Source organism: Homo sapiens, chromosome 11 (assembly GCF_000001405.40).
Source record: "Homo sapiens chromosome 11, GRCh38.p14 Primary Assembly".
NCBI classification, from domain to species: domain Eukaryota; kingdom Metazoa; phylum Chordata; class Mammalia; order Primates; family Hominidae; genus Homo; species Homo sapiens.
In genome coordinates, this window is record NC_000011.10 from 24,708,898 (window position 1) to 24,728,819 (window position 19,922).

The window sequence follows — 19,922 nt, forward strand, 5'->3', positions numbered from 1 at the left end:
TGGAGCTTTTAGAGCTGGTCCACAGCCCAGCTCTATCATTAATTACCAAAGCTGTTTTCACACTTTAAATTACCCAGCTCCATCAAGCTATCACCTATCTTAGGGACTGGTGTGTCATGTTTCTGAAATGATTGTCACATCTAGAAGTAGAAAGAGTTAAGCAAAGAAGAGGATTTTCAGTTCAGCAAAATATTTCTGTCTTTATCTCTATTTGTGATAGAGAATAAAACATTCCTGAACATGTGGGAGACTTCCTATCTTTTATGGTCTGGATTTATCACAGGACTTGAAGCTGAGAAATTATATATGCGGCATTTTCAAATAGTAATGTGTACAGTTTCTACCAGTAAGGGAGAAGAATAAGGCTAATGATTAGGTTACCAACTATATTCAGAATATTATAGAAAAATATAAAGAGAATATGTTTATTTAAATTGGGCCTACACATCATTCTCAAGGAGAGTGTATACAAAGACATGGGGTTATAAAAGAGTACAGAGTATTCAGGAAATGGAATAAAAGGTATTTTTAAAATATATGGATTTGATAGAACTACAGAGTATATGGAAGGAAATTGTCAAGGAGAAGCTAAAAGAGAAAGGGCAGATACAATTTCTGGCAATTGTATTTACATTTTGTAGTTATCATATGCCTATTTAGTGCAAAATTATTGTTTAAGGCTATGATTGAGGAATTCCATTTCAAATTTTCCAGGAATAATTAGAAGAACTCTTTTTGGATATAAACTTTATTTGCTAATGGGATCTCAATAAATAATAATAATCTGAGATAGCACATAACTCTACTGATAAAGAGGAATGTATACAGCCTTCCATTGCACCTTTATTCTTTCTGCCAGTGTCATCGTTTTTGTATTGGGGCCTCAAAAGCAATCAAAAAAGAGAAAGCAGGAATTGCAGGGATAATATAATCAGGTGGTTCTTTCTGTTCACCAGCAGTGAGTTTGTAGACAGGAGCTCATGGATGAAAAAGTTAACTTTGGTGTCTGCCTTTCTCAGCTGTTTATCAGATCCTTAGAACAAGAGAAATTTAAATAAACATGAACCAGGATTCAATCCTCCTGTTATATGCTCCCACTTTGGAAAGTTATAGAAATGTGCTCCTCTGATGAGATCCTTTTTATTTGCCCTCAACTTAACTATAATTATCATTTGCTGGAACCAGACCCACTTAACATTTTAATAAGTGCTTGTCAGTGTCTTCAGTAGTGAAAGTGAAAATCAGTGGGGTGGAATTTCTGAACCACGGTGATATTCTCAAAGGAAAAAAATTAACATAAATGAGAGGTGGTGATTTTATTATTCTAAAGGTGCCTCTGGAGTTGCCCTCTGTAGAATCTGAGATATCATGTAGGTCTTAGAGCTTTTCCCCCTTCTTTTAGAGTTTTTCTCTGGCTAGATACAGTTTGCAGAATGGCAGAATCTGAAACCACTCAGCATAAAAGGCTTGCAAAATCAATATTGCTCCTATCAGTCACCAAGCAGAAGATTCATTTCACACATCAAACAGAATGCAAAGCCATGGATTCTTGTACTCCTAGTGAAATGGGTTTCTGTATAGATACATGAAGTTAATAAAAAAACTAACACATTGATCGTATATTGACAGGGCTATTTTTCTCTGTGATTAATGGTCTCACATTCTGTGCCAATACAATAGCAAGCTCTTCTGAATTTTTCTACTGCTTTCTGAAAGCAGCCTAGCCACAATTTCTCTGTCATGAATTTCTTTAATCACAACAAATTTCTACTACTTGAATTATCCATTAAGAGTATTATATATCACAACCCCCATCTTGTAACCAGTGAACTTAATACATGTCTTCAGTGTAAATTTATCACATTTTTTTTGCAATTATGTATTTGTTTCTATCATACTTTAAATGAAAAACTTTATGAAGTCAGGTACAATGTTTTAGTCATTTCTGATATTCAAGCATAGCTCAAAATCTGGCGAGAAGAAATAAGAGACAAAGAGAAAGGAAAGAAAGAAGGAAGGAAGGATGGAAGGCAGGAAGGGAGGAAGGAAGGAAAGGAGGGAGGGAGGGGAGGGGAGGAAAGAAAGAAGGGAGGGAGGTAGAGAGGGGGAAAAAAGAAAACACTGATATGCTTAATCAGCTTTAATGAAGAAGAAATGCTAGCATCTAAAGGGGGAACTGGCAATAAAATAGCTCCATATCCTTCAAGGGCAAGCCAGAATTCCAATTCCATGTTTAATACAGAAAGCATTGCTTTAATAAGGATTTTCTGGGCCTGGCGCGGTGGCTGATGCCTGTAATCCCAGCACTTTGGGAGGCCAAGGCGGGCGGATCACGAGGTCAGGAGATCGAGACCATCCTGGCTAACACGGTGAAACCCCCGTCTCTACTAAAAATACAAAAAATTAGCCGGGTGTGGCGGCGGGTGCCTGCAGTCCCAGCTGCTGGGGAGGCTGAGGCAGGAGAATGGCGTGAACCCGGGAGGCGGAGCTTGCAGTGAGCCGAGATGGTGTCACTGCACTCCAGCCTGGGCGACAGAGCGAGACTCCATCTCAAAATAAATAAATAAATAAATAAATAAATAAATAAATAAATAAAGATTTTCTTTTGTAGGTATAGACATCAGGGGAGTCATGCAGTGACTGCCTGGCTGTGAAAGATGATTATGCGGATGGAGTTGTCTCGCTCAACGTATCTCTTCTTGAGCGTGTTTACTTTTAAAAATCTAGAAATTCCCTTTTCAGTTACTATTTAAAATTTGTAATTTGATTTCTTTATACACACACCGTCACACATACAACACATAATTTTATATAAAGGCAACATAGTTTTTTCCCTAATTTTTTGCCTTTCCCTCTCATAAATTCCCTCTATTTGCAGCCCTTCTCTGCCCTCTGTTAAATCAGTCTCTTTCAAATTTTTCCCCTTACTAACATAATTGTATATAGGCATAAACAAACACAAACACATATGTATATACTCCTAGAACCTTATTCATTATGACTAGCTTTTATAAATGCACCAAACTTTTGATTATTTTTCTTCTCTCTCAAAAGTGCCACACAGAAATTCCTCCAAGTCATGTGGTGTACTCTGATTGATGTATTATTTAACCTTAGTATACCATAGCGTGTTGTCAAAGAAAATCAAAGCAGAATAGCAGTTAAAAAGGTAAAGACAAATAGTATTCAGGAACTATTGAAATAGGAGGAAAGAGACCTTGTTATAAACTGTGCTTAATTTGGCTGGACTCAGTTGCTCACACCTGGAATCCCAGCACTTTGGGAGATTGAGGCAGGGAGATCGCTTGAGCTCAGGAGTTCAAGACAAGCTTGGGCAACATGGTGAGACCCCATCTCTGTAAAAAATTAGCCAGGCATGGTGGCATGCACCCGTGGTCTCAGCTACTCACATACTCAGTAGGCTAAGGCATGAGGACAGCTTGAGCCCAGAAAGTCGAGGCTATATCACTCCACTGCACTTCAGCCTGAGTGACAGAGTGAGATCCTGCCTAAAAAAAAAAATGTACTGAGATTAATTCCCAACACATCATCATCAAGTGAGGATTTGCAGCTAAGGAACAGGATGAAGATCTGTGATACAAAATTACTAGGAGAAAGCATCAGGGTTAAAAGGGATTCTGGCTAACCTACCAGGGCACTTAGATATGCCCTGGGTGATGTGGGGGATAAGAAATTTGATCAGATATGGAGGGTGATCAAATATTGAGGGTGGAGGTTTTGGTTAATGACTTAGCAAGATTTTTTTTATGACTAGGTAATGCAGGCCATGGACAGATTACCATATTTGGGGCATAATTGAGAAAGGGGCTTAGAAGAGCCTGACTAAAATTTGGCCAAGAAGACAGTCTTTGTCAATGTATTCAGCATAATTTATTCAGACCTCTTATTTTCTTTCCAAATATTTTTATCTATGATTAATGCTGCTTTAAACTTATTGTATTAAGGGCTAGAACTTCTACAGATAGATTCCTAGGTATGGGATTGGTAGGGGAAGAGTTATATATTTTTAACTTGAAACCATCTTGTCAAAAGTCCTCTAATGCCACAATCTTTGACTACGTATGTGAGAGACCTTACTTCCCCAGAAGAGACTTTTCTAGACATCTTTAGTGAGGGACACAACTAATTCTGCCACACATCTACAATGTCTCTGGGAGATTCTCTTAGTTTGCATTAGCAGACCTTGAAAGAAAAATATGCAAATATCCCGGTGGTCACATTGAGTGTTGGCTCTGATACAAAGAAATGTGTCTGAACAAGAGTGACTTCAGATAGCATAGAAGTCACTTAACAAAATTATTTATGGCTTTGTTCTAAGTCACAGAAATTTTTATAGTTTTATGATTTTCTTGTGGGCAGGTATTGAAAATGTTTCCCAGGAAAAAACTACCTGTGTCATCATTTTAATACCCTAGCGAAACCGAATCGAAGTCACTCTTATTCAGTCTCCTTGATTGTGAATTAATAGGAATCTATACCTTGGAATGCCTTTGTCAACTGGGGGGAGAACAATTTAAATCTTTCTTTTTGATGTTTATTTGGATTGAAAATGTGCTTATATAGTAAGTCCTTCATATCTATGGGTCCAACCATCCAAAGATCAGAAATATGGCAAAAAATAGAAAATAAAAGTTAATACAGGCCAGACACGGTGGCTCACCCTGCAATCCCAGCACTTTGGGAGGCCAAAGTGGCAAGATCACCTGAGGCCAGGATTTCGAGCTACACCACGACACTCTATCCTGGATAACAGAGTGAGAATCTGTTTTTTTTTTTTTTTTTTTTTCTGAGATGGAGTCTTGCTCTATCACCCAGGTTGGAGTGCAGTAGCATGATCTCTGCCTACTGGAACCTCTGTCTCTTGGGTTCAAGGGATTCTCCTTCCTCAGCCTCCTGAGTAGCTGGAATTATAGGCGTGCAGCACCATGCCTGGCCATTTTTTTTTTTTTTTTTTTTTTGTAGAGACAGGGTTTCACCATGTTGGCTAGGCTGGTCTTGAACTCCTGACCTCAGGTGATCTGCCCACCTCAGCCTCCCAAAGTGCTGGGATTACAGGCATGAGCCACCATGCCTGGCCAAATCTGTCTTTTTTAAAAAAAGAAGAAAAAAATTACAACCATAAAAATAATACAAAAGTCAATACAGTATAAAAACTACTTACATAGCATTTACACATTGTATTTTATATTATAATGATGATTTAAAGTATATAAGACATATGTTGGGGGTAGGAGGCAAGAAGAGGGAGAGCATTAGGACAAATACCTAATGCATGCGGGGCTTAAAACCTCAGTGATGGGTTGATAGGTGCAGCAAACCACCATGGCACACGTATACCTATGTAACAAACCTGCATGTTCTCTATCCCAGATTTTCAAGTAAATAAAGTAAAATAAAAAAAGGAAAACAAAAAGAAAATATGCTTTTCTTTCTATTTGAAGAAATATATAATTTTTGAGTTGCATTGCCTCCTCATAGCCACATAACAAAATACACCTCCAGACATCTGAATCAATTGATCTGCTTGGGGTTGGTGGGAAAGTGTATGCCAAGAACAAAGATTTGGCACGGAGTAATATTAAACTGTTTATTCTGCCCATAATTAGAAATAGAAAGCTTTGTTTTCTGAAATGCTTTCAGAAAAATGATAGTAAAAATCTTCATCAGCATGGGCTGAATGCACCCCCCAACCCCTAACCCATACGTTCATCTACAACAGCAGAAGTATATGCATGGAGTTTATCTAAAATATTTGCAGCAGAATTTTGACATGCTCATGAATCCTCCAATTTTCTGCCAAAATGATTCAATTATTCAAACATTAAGAGAAAAACATGCAACCTAAGGGACAGCCTGAGAAATTTGATAGCCTGACTACTAGAGATGGAGTGCCCTTGGAGGCATCACCTTCTGTGCACAGCCCTGATGAAGTTTAGATCTCCACCAGAGAGACTGACACAGAAAGCTGTGCCCTTGCCATAGCATCAACAGTTTACACTGTCAGAAGAGCCTAGAGAGTCTACAGACCCCTCTGCACACTTTAACTAAAGACTCTCAGCCCATCAGCCTTTTGAGAAACAGAATATCTCCTATCTTCTAAACATCTGAAAGACACAAGCAGGACCTGAGGAGTTGCTTAGGTAACTGACATTTACTTACCTCTGCTGACAATGCTGGTATATCTGGGCGTAAGTGGACAGAGTGAACAATGAAAAATGATGTGTAATCAATAAAAGTAAATGTTTGAAAAAAAGACATATGCATAAATTATATGCAAATACTAGTCATTTTATATAAGGCACTTGAGCATCTGCAGATTATGGTATCCAATTCAAGGAGCAACTATGTGTGTGTGTGTGTGTGTGTGTGTGTGTGTGTGTGTGTGTGTGCATGCGTATTTCTAAATATATCTTGGTCGGTGAAGAGCAATTCATAGAGAAATTCATATTCTATAGGAAGTAATTCAAATTTCTGACCATGCCCTTCAAGAGTTTTGATAATTTGAACCTCACCAACTTCTCCAGATTCTACCTTACTTAAATGAGCTCAGGGAGTGTCCTATATGCAACTTAGATTATATTGCTTGCTGATTTATAATTTGCATGAACACAACACTTTCACATCTACATTGTCATTACTTATATTGTCACCTGTGCTTAGACTTCTTTCCCCTTTACGATATTTAATCATCCTATGCGTCATTCAAGGCCCCACACAAAGATATTTTCTTCCATGAAATTTTCTGTGACTGTTTAACTTGTTGGTGATTTCTTCTAATGTCTTACTCTTATCACATTTTGTCATGTATTATCCTCATTTCAATCTTTGTTCTATATTACAGAAATAAAATTTTGAGCCAGTTGATTAGGGATACTTCATTGTTAATGTTTGCATATATTTTTTCAAAGAGTCCTCCATGTAGAAGGATCCAATAAAATATATACTACTTCATTATTTGTAGAGGGACTGCATAATCTAGTATTTTTTCATCAATGATATCTAGGGTTGACGACTATTTTCATCATTTACTATCTGTCTTTGGAAAAATTACTTAAATTATGAACCTACTTTCTTGCTTGTAGAATGTCCACTACACCTATATTTCTGAATAATTATGAGAATTAAATGATATTGTAAAATGTCTACCACATGTCTGATATATGCTAGTATATAATATTAGATATTGTTTAAAAATAAAAAATAAAATGAAGCTATAGTTATGCTTGCTATAATAAATAATTATTTAAAAGTAGGCAGAAATGTTGAAGACAGGCTGAATGGAAGTTTGTGTTTCTACAGTTATTATTGTTGTTATTCTATTTCTTTGGGAAAACCAAATCTTGAGATGTCATGGCACTACTCCAGAGCTTTGAATTTTATGAAATTTCTATCCAAAGAAGGCGTTCAACATACTCTTGGAGGATCTTTTCATTAAAGACAAAAAACAAAAACAATGCAAATGAAATTGAAACATTGAAAGACTATTCCATGATAAGTGAGTCTATTGTATCTGCATTTAAAATAAACAGTTAGAAATATAAATTACGGCAGGACAGACATCAAAGGAGTGAAAAGAGTCAAGAAGGGTTCCAAGAATGAGGAGGACAAGTCACAGGGTACAGGAGCCTGTTTTTCAACACTTCTGCCAGTCCAAACAAGGAAAGTGTAAACATCAAATTAAATAGTAACCACTAGAAGCTGGGGGCGGTGGCTCAAGTCTGTAATCCCAGCACTTTGAGAGTCCAAGGCGGACGGATCACCTGAGGTCAAGAGTTCGAGACCAACTGGCCAACATGGTGAAACCCTATCTGTACTAAAAATACAAAAATGTTCTGGGCATGATGGCAGGCAACTGTAATCCCAGGTACTTGGGAGACTGAGGCAGGAGAATCTCTTGAACTCAGGAGGCGGAGTTTGCAGTGAGCCGACATTGCGCCACTGCACTCCAGCCTGGGTGACAGAGTGAGACTACATCTCAAAAAAATTTTTTTAATATAAAATAATAATGATTACTAGAAAAAATGAAGAAGTACATGCTTTCAAAAACTCATTAATCTATAAAGGCTGTTGTGCAATCATTTTTAAAAAATAAAACTAATGATTAATTATAAAATAAAGAAGTGGAGTGAATATATGACATGCATATTAAGAAGAGGCATGAACTTTATAGTTCTAGGAGGAGATTTCATGGAAGAAGTGAAATGAAGTAATTTCTCTAACTAGATTGATAAACAGAGTAGGTAAAGGAATTCTAGGCTGATGTAACCATTCAAGCAAAGGTTAGTAGTTAAAATTTATTCAGCTAACCTACATTTATTAAGCATCTCACAATGTGCTATCAAATAAAAACAATGTAGTCTTAATTTTTTTTCTTATTTTAAAAAACTTTTAGGTTCAGCAGTACATGTGGAGGTTTGTTACATAGGTGAACTCATGCCATGGGGGTTTGTTGTACAGATTATTTCATTACCCAGGTATTAGAACCCAATAGTTTTTTTTTTTTTTTTTGAGACGGAGTATTGCCTTGTCGCCCAGGTGGAATGCAGTGGCGCCATCTCGGCTCACTGCAAGCTCCGACCCCCGAGTTCACGCCATTCTCCTGCCTCAGCTTTCCGAGTAGCTGGGACTACAGGTGCCTGCCACCACGCCCGGCTAATTTTTTGTATTTTTTTTTTTTTAGTAGAGACAGGGTTTCACCGTGTTACCCAGGATGGTCTCGATCTCCTGACCTCGTGATCCACCTGCCTCAGCCTCCGAAAGTGCTGGGATTACAGGCGTGAGCCACCGCGCCCGGCCCCCAATAGTTATCTCTTCTATTCCTCTCCCTCCTCCCTCCCTTCACCCTCCATTAGACCCAAGTGTCTGTTTTCCCTTCTTTGTGTTCGTGAGTTCTCATCATTTACCTCCTACTTATAAACGAGAGCATGTGATATTTGGTTTTCTGTTCCTGTGTTAGTTTGCTAATAGCCTCCAGCTCCATCCAAGTTCCCATAAAAGATATGATCTCATTCTTTTTTATGACCGCATAGTATTCTACGGTGTTTTTGTACCACACTTTCGTTATCCAATCTGTCATAATGTAGTCTTAAGTAAGAAAATAATTTATTCAAAAGCTATTGCAGTAGAAAGAACACTTCAACCATACAATCTTTAAGCATCGTAGAGCAAAGGCTTTCTTTTATAGAGAGAAAGGAAACAGGACTATCAAAAACTGGCTGTGGGGAAAAGAGTGAGCGGGTTGTGTGGCCGAACGATTGAACAGCAAATGTTTCTACACCATAAGCCAATTAATTAATGGTGTAAAAGCTAATCTCAGAGTGGTTGTTAAGCTGCTGTTCCGTATTCCAATACTTAATGCTTGTTGAAACCCAAGGTGAGACAGAGTTCACAGGCCTGAGAGAAGGTGAGAAGCTAGACCAAAAAGCTCGACCACTCTGGTCAAATGAAGCTAGCAGTCTTTTGCGCAGATTAATCAGTGAAGCACAAGTTTAGCTAATCATTATGAGACAAAGAGTGGGAATTTGGAGTGTCTGTGAGTGCATCATAACAGGTAAATAAGGATGTCATCCATGAATCTTATCTAGCTCGTATGGCAAGGACAGTATTTTGCATTATCGCATTTTTGGAGACAAAAGGTTTGGGGAATTTCTTAACCATTGGTGATTTCTGGAAGCACAGGGCTCAGATGCAGTTCAACATTATAAGTACAAAACAGTGTGCTAGTATCAAACAACATTTTTTCAGTCAAAGCATTCAATTTTGTGGTGAAACACATACATAAATAATAAAATATTATAATACTAAAAAGAGATGGAGAATACAGAAAACCTTGACAGAAGACTAAGGATTGAAGAGACTGACTTGATGTATTTGGAGATTTTGTGCTGTGAAATCAAGTGTTAAGGCTATACAGTGTACAACGGTGTGTGGGAAGTTCTTAAATACTAGGAAGAATTTAAACAAATGATTCCTCAGGGAATTCATTTTAATCTTAGATCTAGTTTATTCACAGGAATTGAAATAGACAAAACACATTTAAATATTTTCAAGAAATTCTCTTTGATAATTAATTAACTGAGCACAGGGTATATAAGAGGAAATAGAGGAAAGCTGAACAAAGGAAAATGAAGGAGACAGATTCAAGCCCCAGGGCAGATGGCCTTGACCTTGACATGGCCGAAGGGGCTACTGATATTTTGAACTGTAAGTTGATCCAGTTAGAATTTTAAGTTAAAAAGTATAATTTGAATTAAATGGATTAGAAAAGCAAAAAAAAGAAAATGCATATAATGCTATTATATAAACATTCAAATAGTGAGAACCTGAACTAGGATAGTAAGATTGGGTAGAGTCAAATAAAAATGTTCAAATAATTAGAATTGGAGAAGAGATGGGATTTGATTGAGCAAATGTTTATCTTTCAGAAATAAAGAAAATAATTAGTTAAATCATGGCCCCAAAATATCCATCTTTAGTGAAATTGGACAAACTTGTCAGTCTTAGTGCTGACCAATCTTCCTGCTGAAGTCAACAGAAAAAATTGACAAAATTCAAAATAATAATTCCTTTTAAGGCACTGGAGAACTATCAATGCACAATGTAACAAGTACTCAACTGGCCAATCTCTGAGAAATAAAATATAGAGAAGTTAACACAGCATTTGGCACTATGTAGTACATTGTTTGCAAATATGCCCGTAACTATTCTCCTTATATCCATATACACTTACTTTATGACTTTGAAGCTTTTCCCATCAAGAAGTGAAGTATATTTACCTGACTCTTGAATCTGGCCTGAACTTGTGACTTGCTTTGTAACTGATACTGTTTGATTGACAGGATGTTATTCTAAATCTCAGCCTAAACCTGAAAAATACTCCCTGACCTCTGCTAATTCTCTTAGATCCCTGACCAACTGGTAGATGATCTGCTCTAGGCTACTTTGCTGATAAAGCGAGATCCAGTTGCTTTCACTGATAAACTGACAGCAATTCAACCATAGAAGTAGAGTCATTGGCTGATGAACAAAAGATCGCAAATACAAGAATAAGCCCAACCAAGTGAATGGCCCAGCTAAGCTCAGACTAACACACAGAATCATTAAGTAAATAAATGATAATAAAATAGACAAATTATTAAATATTATGTAATTTATTGGCATTGAAATGGGAACAATTAGAATATTTGAGTATTTACGTATCTATTAAAACATTGACTAACTAAATGATTTCCCACAAAGGATTTGCAGGCCATATTATTTTAGTTCTGAATTCTCCTCATTCAGGGAAGAAAGGTTACCAGTCTCACACAAATTCTTTCAGATAATAGAAAAAAAAAATACTATCCAATTTGTTTCATGAGATAAGCAAAACTTAGATACCAAGCTTTACAAGAATATGAGAGAGACATTTACAAATGATTTTTTCTATGAAAATAAATGTAAAAATTATAAGCAAAATATTAGGAAACTGAATCTAGCAGAAGTATACATGAAATTATTTTGATAGTGTGAGATTTATTTAATGTAATCATTAATCATACATGTGAGATGGATCAATGCAATGAAGTACATTAATAGTATAAATGAAAAATGTATGTGACCACTTGAACCAATGCATTTATTAGACAAATTTTTGCTGTGCTGATACTACATTACAAATTACTCCAAAGCCTAATGACTTACAAAAACAAGCACTTATTTTTCAAGCTCATGTTGGGAGCTTACTGCAAGTGTTTCTGCTTCAGAGTATGGATCAAATTCAGACCTGTTCTTTTGTTTGTTTGTTTTGTTTTGTTTTGTTTTGAGACAGAGTCCCTGTCGCCCAGGCTGGAGTGCAGTGGCGCGATCTCGGCTTACCGCAAGCTCTGCCTCCCGGGTTCACGCCATTGTCCTGCCTCAGCCTCTCCGAGTAGCTGGGACTACAGGCGCCCGCCACCACGTCCGGCTAATTTTTTGTATTTTTAGTAGAGACAGGGTTTCACCGTGGTCTCGAACTCCTGACCTCGTGATCTGTCCGCCTCGGCCTCCCAAAGTGCTGGGATTACAAGCGTGAGCCAGACCTGTTCTCTTTATTTTCTTACTGAAAAAGCCTGAGTTGAAGCAGTTACCTACGGTTACTTTTTCACATGGCCAATAGCAGGAGAACAAGAAGCTGAGAAAAATAACATAAACGACGTTTAATGTCACTGATAAGCCATGTCCACTAGCGTGCCTTTGGAGTGTCACATGACCAAATGAATGACACAGGGATTTCTATTCTGCTTATATTTGCAGCATAGTAAATGTGGGAAGGGAGAAAGGAATTGTTAGCAAATAATAACACCTGCCATAATGAAGCAAGCAACATTTTATAACATTCAAATTTTATTCATGATTAAATGATTAAGAAACTAGAAAGGGAACATTTTACATCTGATAATGTAAAAGAAAAAGAAGAAGAATATTTACTACAAAAATTCAATAGGAAATACCATATTTGGGGTGAAATATTGAAAGCTCTTTCTCCTACAATCTGGAATAAGACAAAGATGTTTATAGTATCAATTCTGTTGAGCACTGTAGAATAGGTTTTTAATTCTTGATAATAAATTAGGATATAGAAGAAAAACTACCATTCTTGCAGAAAGTATGATTGTGTATATAGAAAATTCAAAAGATTCTAAATGTAAGCGATGCACAAATGTAAGTTATTCACAAAAGGATTGTGCACTGAAAACTACACAATATTATTAAGATAAAATGTTATGATCTCTAAATAAATTGTAGTATATGAAATGTTTATGGAGCAGAAAACTCAACATTTTTAAAATGTCAATATAGTCACCCAAAACCCAAACAATGTTTTATTCTTGTTGAAATTGACAAACCAATTCTAAAATGTATATGGAAATGCATTTGACCGTGAATAAGTAAGACAATCTTGAAGAAAATAACAAAATTTAAACTTTTAGACTCTTGGGTATCTATATACTTTTATAAAGCTTTAATAAATAAGAAACAGTGACACTAACAAAATGTTAAACAAATATTTCAATTTGATGGATTAAATAATATAGAAACTGACATCTTTTTATTGAAAAAATTTATTTATAAAAAATGGCACTGCAAAATATTGGGATTTAATTATATGTTCCCGTGCAACACAGAAAAATACAATTCCAGGTTGTTTGCAGGTCTAAAATGTGAAAAGTGAAATAAGTAAATTAACTAATTACTTAATACATAGGCTTCCAGAAAATATAGTAAGCCAGCTTACATTTCTTAAACTAAGTCTAAAAAGGACAAATCCTGATATAAATATTAATTTGGTCTATATTTGTATCAGTCTGTTTTCATGCTGCTGATAAAGACATACCTGATACTGGGTAATTTATACAGGAAAAAGGGTTTAGTGAACTTACAGTTCCACTGGATGGGAAGGCCTCACAATCATTGTGTAAGGCAAGGGGGAGCAAGTCACATCTTACACGGATGGCAGCAGGCAAAGAAAGAGATCCATCAGATCTCATGAGACTCATTCACTATCATGAGAACAGCATGGGAAAAACCTGCCCCCATAATCCAACCACATCCCACCAGGTTCCTCCCACAACATGTAGGAATCATGGGAGTTAAAATTCAAAATGAGATTTGGGAGGGGACACAGCCAAACCATATCAATATTTATATTATCAACAACTCTTCATTAAAAGATACCATTAAGAGATTGAAAATTCAGGGCCAGGCACAGTGGTTCATTCTTGTAATCCCAGCACTTTGGGAGGCCAAGGCAGGAGGATCATTTGAGGTCAGGAGTTCGAGACCAGCCTGGCCAACATGGTGAAACCCATCTCTACTGTAAATACAAAAATTAGCTGGGCGTGGGGGTGCATGCCTGTAATCTCAGCTACTTGGGAGGCTGAGGCAGGAGAATTGCTTGACCTCAGGACGTGGAGGTTGCAGTGAGCCGATATCATGCCACTGCACTACAACCTGGGCAACAGAGTGAGACCTCATATTAAAAAAAAAAGAGAGAGAGAGAGATTCAAAATTCAAGCAGCAGAATAGGAAATTATTTTAATACTTTTAATCATAAAAGGGCTCATGTGTGGAATGTATAAATACCTCCCACAAATCAATAACAAGCAATGGGCAAACTAATGGAAAAAGGGCAAAAGTCATGAGTGAGCATTTTATAAAGGATATATAAAAATCACCTTTAGTAACATCCTCCCTTTATGAGTCACCAACCAGGGAAATTCAAATTATAGCTAAAATGAGATGCTATTACACCACTACTAGAGTTACTGAATTAAAAACAAGTACTAATGATACCAGTGTGGATAAGAATATGAAGCAACTGGAATTCTCTACCTCTCCTACCCTGCAACTAATTTGAAAAATTTTTTGGCTGTTATTTGCTAAAGTAGAACATATGCGTGCTTTATGATGCGGCAATTCCATTCTTAGATATATACCCAGCATAAACGTGTTTATATGTTAACCACAAAGCATATGAAATATTCATTGCAGCATTACTCATAATATTCAAAAACTGGAAAAAGTCACAAGTGTCTATCAACACTAGAAAAAATTGCTGTACAGTTATTCACCACTACACTATGCAGTATTAAAAATTAATAAACTGGCTGGACACGGCGGCCCATGCCTATAATCCCAGCACTTTGGGAGGCTGAGGCAGGAGAATTATTTGAAGCCCAGAGTTCAAGACCCTGCTGGGAAACATCATGAGACCCCCATCTCTACAAAAAATTAAAAAAGCTTAGCCCTGAGTATGGTGATGTGTGCCTATAGTTCCAGCTACTCGGGAGGTTGAGGTGGGAGGATGGCTTGTGATCAGGAGTTCGAGGCTGCAGTGAGCTATGATTACACCATTGCACTCCAGCCTGTGTGAGAGAGCAAGACCCTATCTCTGAAAAATGAAAAATGAAAAATAAAAAGTAATAAATAAAAATTAAACTTTGGGTAAAATATGAAAAATTTTTACAAACTTGATATCATATTAAATGAATCAAGCAAAAGACATTTGATGTATATGATTTATATGTGTATTAATTTCAAACATAAGCAAATAATTTTAAGTCACAGAAGTCTGAATATTGGTTATATGTTGGGAGGAGGGTAAAGGTAATGAATGGGTGCCGTCAAAGAAAAGCTTCTAAGGTTAGTTTTCTATCTCTTAAATTTCCGAGGTGTTTAGTTTGCAATACTTCAAGTGTGTCCTTGGGATTTTTGTTTTTCTACATGAATGCTGTATCTTAATACAGTTTATATTTGAAAACAATGGACTAAGAAAGATAGTATCACTTGAAAATTACAAATATGGTACTCAGTGATGAAGCATAACTTTTTATTTTAAAGTCAAAGACAAGCCAGGGGTCATGGCTCACACCTCTAATCCCAGCATTTTGGGAGGCTGAGGAGGGCAGATCGATTGAGCTCAGGAGTTCGAGATCAGCCTGGGTAACATGGCAAAACCCTCTCTCTACTAAGAATAGAAAAAAATTAGCTGGGGGTAGTGACGTGTGTCTATCGTCCCAGCTAACTGAGAGGCTGAGGTGGGAGGATGGTTTGAGCCAAGAAGCAGAGGTTGCAGTAAGCCGAGATCATGCCACTGTACTCCAGCCTGGGTGGCAGAGCCAGACCCTGTCTCAAAAAATCAATCAATCAATTAATTAAATTAAATGAAGTCAAGGACAAGACAGAAGGTATTCTATCACCTCCTCTATTCGACATTGTTTTGAATGTCTTAGGCAACATGATTAATAAACAAAAAGAAATAAAACTGTAGCTATTAGAAAAAGATATGACTGGTCAATTCAAAGAAGTTATTGCTACCACTTTAAAAAGTCAACAGAATAAACTGAATAACTATGACAACTAATAAAGATGTTCAGTGAGGTATCTGGAAACAAAATCAACTTACAGACAGTAACTTTAAAGATGACTAGCAATATCTATTTAGACAATTAAATGGAGAAACCCATCCACAATAGTAGCAATAAGTCTAACAAAAAATGAGTAAATGTAAAGAATTTCCGTATTATAAAAACATACTGGCATAATAAATGAGAGTATATTTCTGGATGGTAAGGTGTGTGATTGTTATCTATTTCCCTAAATATAATTATAATGCAAATGCAATTTCAATTAAATTCCCTGCAGGAATTTACAGAAAATTGACATGCTTATTCTAAAATTCATTCAGAAGAAACAAAAGAGAACATTTGCCAATGAAACTGTCAACAAAAACAATAGGGGGGATGAATCCAAGAAGTATCAAAATGTTGTACACAGTTTTAATAATTAAATCATGACATGTCACGAAGACAGCAAATGAATCCGAATACAGAATTTAAAAACATTTAGAAAAAAAAATTTGTTACATCAAAAAGTGCCATATTAAAATCAGCAGGGGAAGTATTGTATCCAATCGTGTTAGGACAACTGGCTATCCATATTTAAGTTATAGTACCCCTTCCTACTATACATATATATTTGTATATATGTTTATATGTAGATACAAAAATCAATTGGGTAGTTTAGTAAAAATTAAAAATTGATACATTTTTATAAATGTACATAAACTTTTAAATAACATGGGTTGGAGAAACCTAAGAATAGTCCAGATGCCATAAAGAAAAAGGATTAATCTAAATAAATTATTTAAAAGAAATTGGAGAGGGGTAAATGTAAATACCAATAAGAGGTATGAAAAAAAAATCCATATAATGACAATGAACTAAAACCCAGAGTGGACAAGAATCTTCCAAATAAATTAGGTAAATGTAATAGGTTGGAATATGTGCCTCCAAATTTATGTGTTGAAATCTTAATCTCTAGTACATTAGATGTAACTTCATTTGGAGATAGTTTTTGCAGAGGTAATAAAGTTAAAATAAGGTCTCTAGGGCAGACTCTAAACCAATATGACTAGTGTTCTTATGTAAAGGGGGAATTTAGACACAGAGATACACCGGGAAGGAAGATGCTGTGGAGAGACATAAGGAGAAGACAGCCATTTGCAAGCTGATGAGAGAGGCCTAAGACAGATCCTTCTCTCACAGCCCTCACAGGAAACAGCCCTACAAACAACTTGATTTTGGATTTCTAGCCTCCAGAATTGTGAGACGAAATATCTATTATTTGAGGTACCCAGTCTTAGTTACTTTGTTATGGAAGCCCTAGAAAACTAATAAGTAACTAACTCAAAATTTAAATAGGCAAAACATATAAACAGATAATTCACAGAGAAAGAAATACAAGTGGTAATCTTATGAAAATATAATCAATCTCTAATAAAGTAAATACAAATTACATCAGAAAGAGGGTATCATTTTTCACTCATGCCATTAGCAAATTTTCTTTTAAGAAAAAGGGAGATAAGACAGTCTGGTTTAGGTGAAGGTGTGAAGAACACCAGAAGATACTAAGAAAATTATAGGCTAGAATAGCTGATAGGCAATTTACCAGCACATATTGAAACTAACACAAAATATCTCATGTGCCCCATAAATACATGTACCTACTAAATACCCACAAAAATTAAAAATTAAAAAAAAAATAAATACAAGATATGGGCACTGAAGCCAGACCTCCCACCCTACTCCCCCCACCAAAAAAAATTAACATGTTGACTTTTAGTGAAATATTTACACTTTTAGAAACTTATATCACAGAAGTACTCAGGAATTCTTTTGTGTCCACATATATACACTTTATTAATTTTTAAGAGAGAAAGAAAAAATTGGAAACACCGTAAATTATCAGTGGTAAAAATATATTCAAGTACAACCAAAATGGATAGTAATATATAGACATGGAAAGTGCTCTAAGACATATGAAGCCAGTTACAGAACCTGAGTGTAGGAGGGTCACATTTACTTTTCATGTAAGCAAGAGAAAATTATTAGAAGATGAACATACACTCATTTGTAAATGGAAGAAAATCCAATAAAATGTTAGCCAATACTTTCATTATGGTTACTTCCGCAGTGTAATTTGGTTTCCTCTTACATAAGGACCTTAAATGTTTGAATCTAAAGTAGTACTGTTAATTAACAATTCTGCCAACATTTTCCTGATAACTTGTGCCTCTTCATGGTTCCCAATGTATTTACCAGAAAATAGAGAGATTTAAATTGGTTCTGTTTTCTTCATAACATTATTTGAAAATCAAATATGAAGGTGAAATGAAACAATGTTGTATATTATAAAAGGGAAATGTTATTTGTAATTTAATTAAAAATAAATATAGTAAACAAAGTCAACATTTATTTGCGTAATAGAGAAGAAAGAAGCAATATACAGTAAGTTCTTGAAGGACGCAATGAACATTTAACTGATAAACTCATAGCCAAATCAGTATATTCTTTCAAATTTGTGGTTAAGATATTAGGCTTTGGAGACTCACTGATACACCACTTTCTTAATAGCATGTCCTTAGAAGTTATTTACTACTCTTGTGACTTAATTTCCGTGCCTATAAAATAGGTACGGATGTGTTATGCACGTCATTTCATTTACTCTTCAGAACAAATTCATGAGAAAAGCACTATTATTAACCCTATATATAATATGACAGCATATATAATAACCTGTCAATACATATAATCTACTATTATGAATTATGGTCACTTAAGATGATTTTGGAGATGTGTTTATTGTTCAGGAGAAACAAATTGGGGCATAAAGTAAGGTTAAAAATTGGAAGGAAATAAAAACATGCCTTGCTGTTTATTATTTAACTTTGCCAGTGAGACTGAATGGAAATTTGGGGCATTAATAATTGTCTGATTACTGGTTGACTACTGTTCATCAGTGAAATTCACAAGGCCAGCGAGAATATTGTGGTTCTTAGCAATGGGCCATTCCGATTTCCTTTTAATGAGAAGAATGTGAAGAGTGCTAGATACCTATATTTAGCAAATGAGAAAAAGAAAAAAATTGTAATAGAAGTCTATTCTAGATGAGATGAACGTATTAATCATCACTAAGGCCATTAGGAGATCTAGTTCCTTTATATTTCTGCAGAATGACTATAAATTCATCATATTTCTTAGTAATAGAAATTATATATGTATATATTTTCAATTAATTACCTATCATGGGTTCAATGCTTTACACAAATTACCCTATTTAACACATGAAAATGTGGGTAAGTTAACTGTTACATTTTACAGATTCTCAACTAAAGCTGAGAGAATTTGAGCCGTTTTCCCACAATTTTACAATTGAACTTGTCGACCCATCTTTCACCAAAAACACTGTTCTTCCTGACTTCCCTCTCAGTGAAGGGCTGTGTCCAAAAATTGCCTAAGCCAGAAACCTGGCATCATTAGTAAATAGCTCCCTTCTACACTTATTCCACAACATACAGGCAAAAGAATTAAACACAAACACACACACACACAGTTACACATACAGATACAGTATACTATTAATTCCATTTTGTATGTTTTGCTGAAATCAATCCAAGTTTGCCTGCCTCCCCTGCTTCTGCTCTAGTTAGGCCAGCGTAATCTTTTGTCTGGACTATTGCAATGGTAACTTTCTTAACAGTCACCTGTTTTCCTGTTTTTTTCCCTCCTCCCATTCACTCCTGAGTTTTCAGCCAGGGAAAATTTTCCAAAACATAAATCTGATCTTGCCATTTACTGACTAAAACATCTCATTTACTTTCATTTGTTCTCAAAATAATGCCCAAATTCCCAATTATCACTTAACAGTCTTCTGAAATGAGTAGTCATTTCACATTTCAGCAGCAAATCTCCTGCTCCCCAGTTAGAACTCCAAACCTTCTGATATTTATTCACTTTTTGAAAAATTCAACATTTATTTTCTTTAGTGTCTGTATGAGTCCGTTTCACACTGCTGATAAAGGCATACCTGAGACTGGGTAA

The 19,922-nt window shown here is 35.9% G+C and overlaps 1 protein-coding gene across 9 annotated transcripts in view; it reads left to right on the forward strand.

Annotated features, from left to right (window-relative positions):
• LUZP2 (leucine zipper protein 2) overlaps positions 1–19,922 on the forward strand; it is a 585,586-nt gene that overhangs the window by 211,845 nt on the left and 353,819 nt on the right. The gene's annotated exons all lie outside the window — the stretch shown is intronic.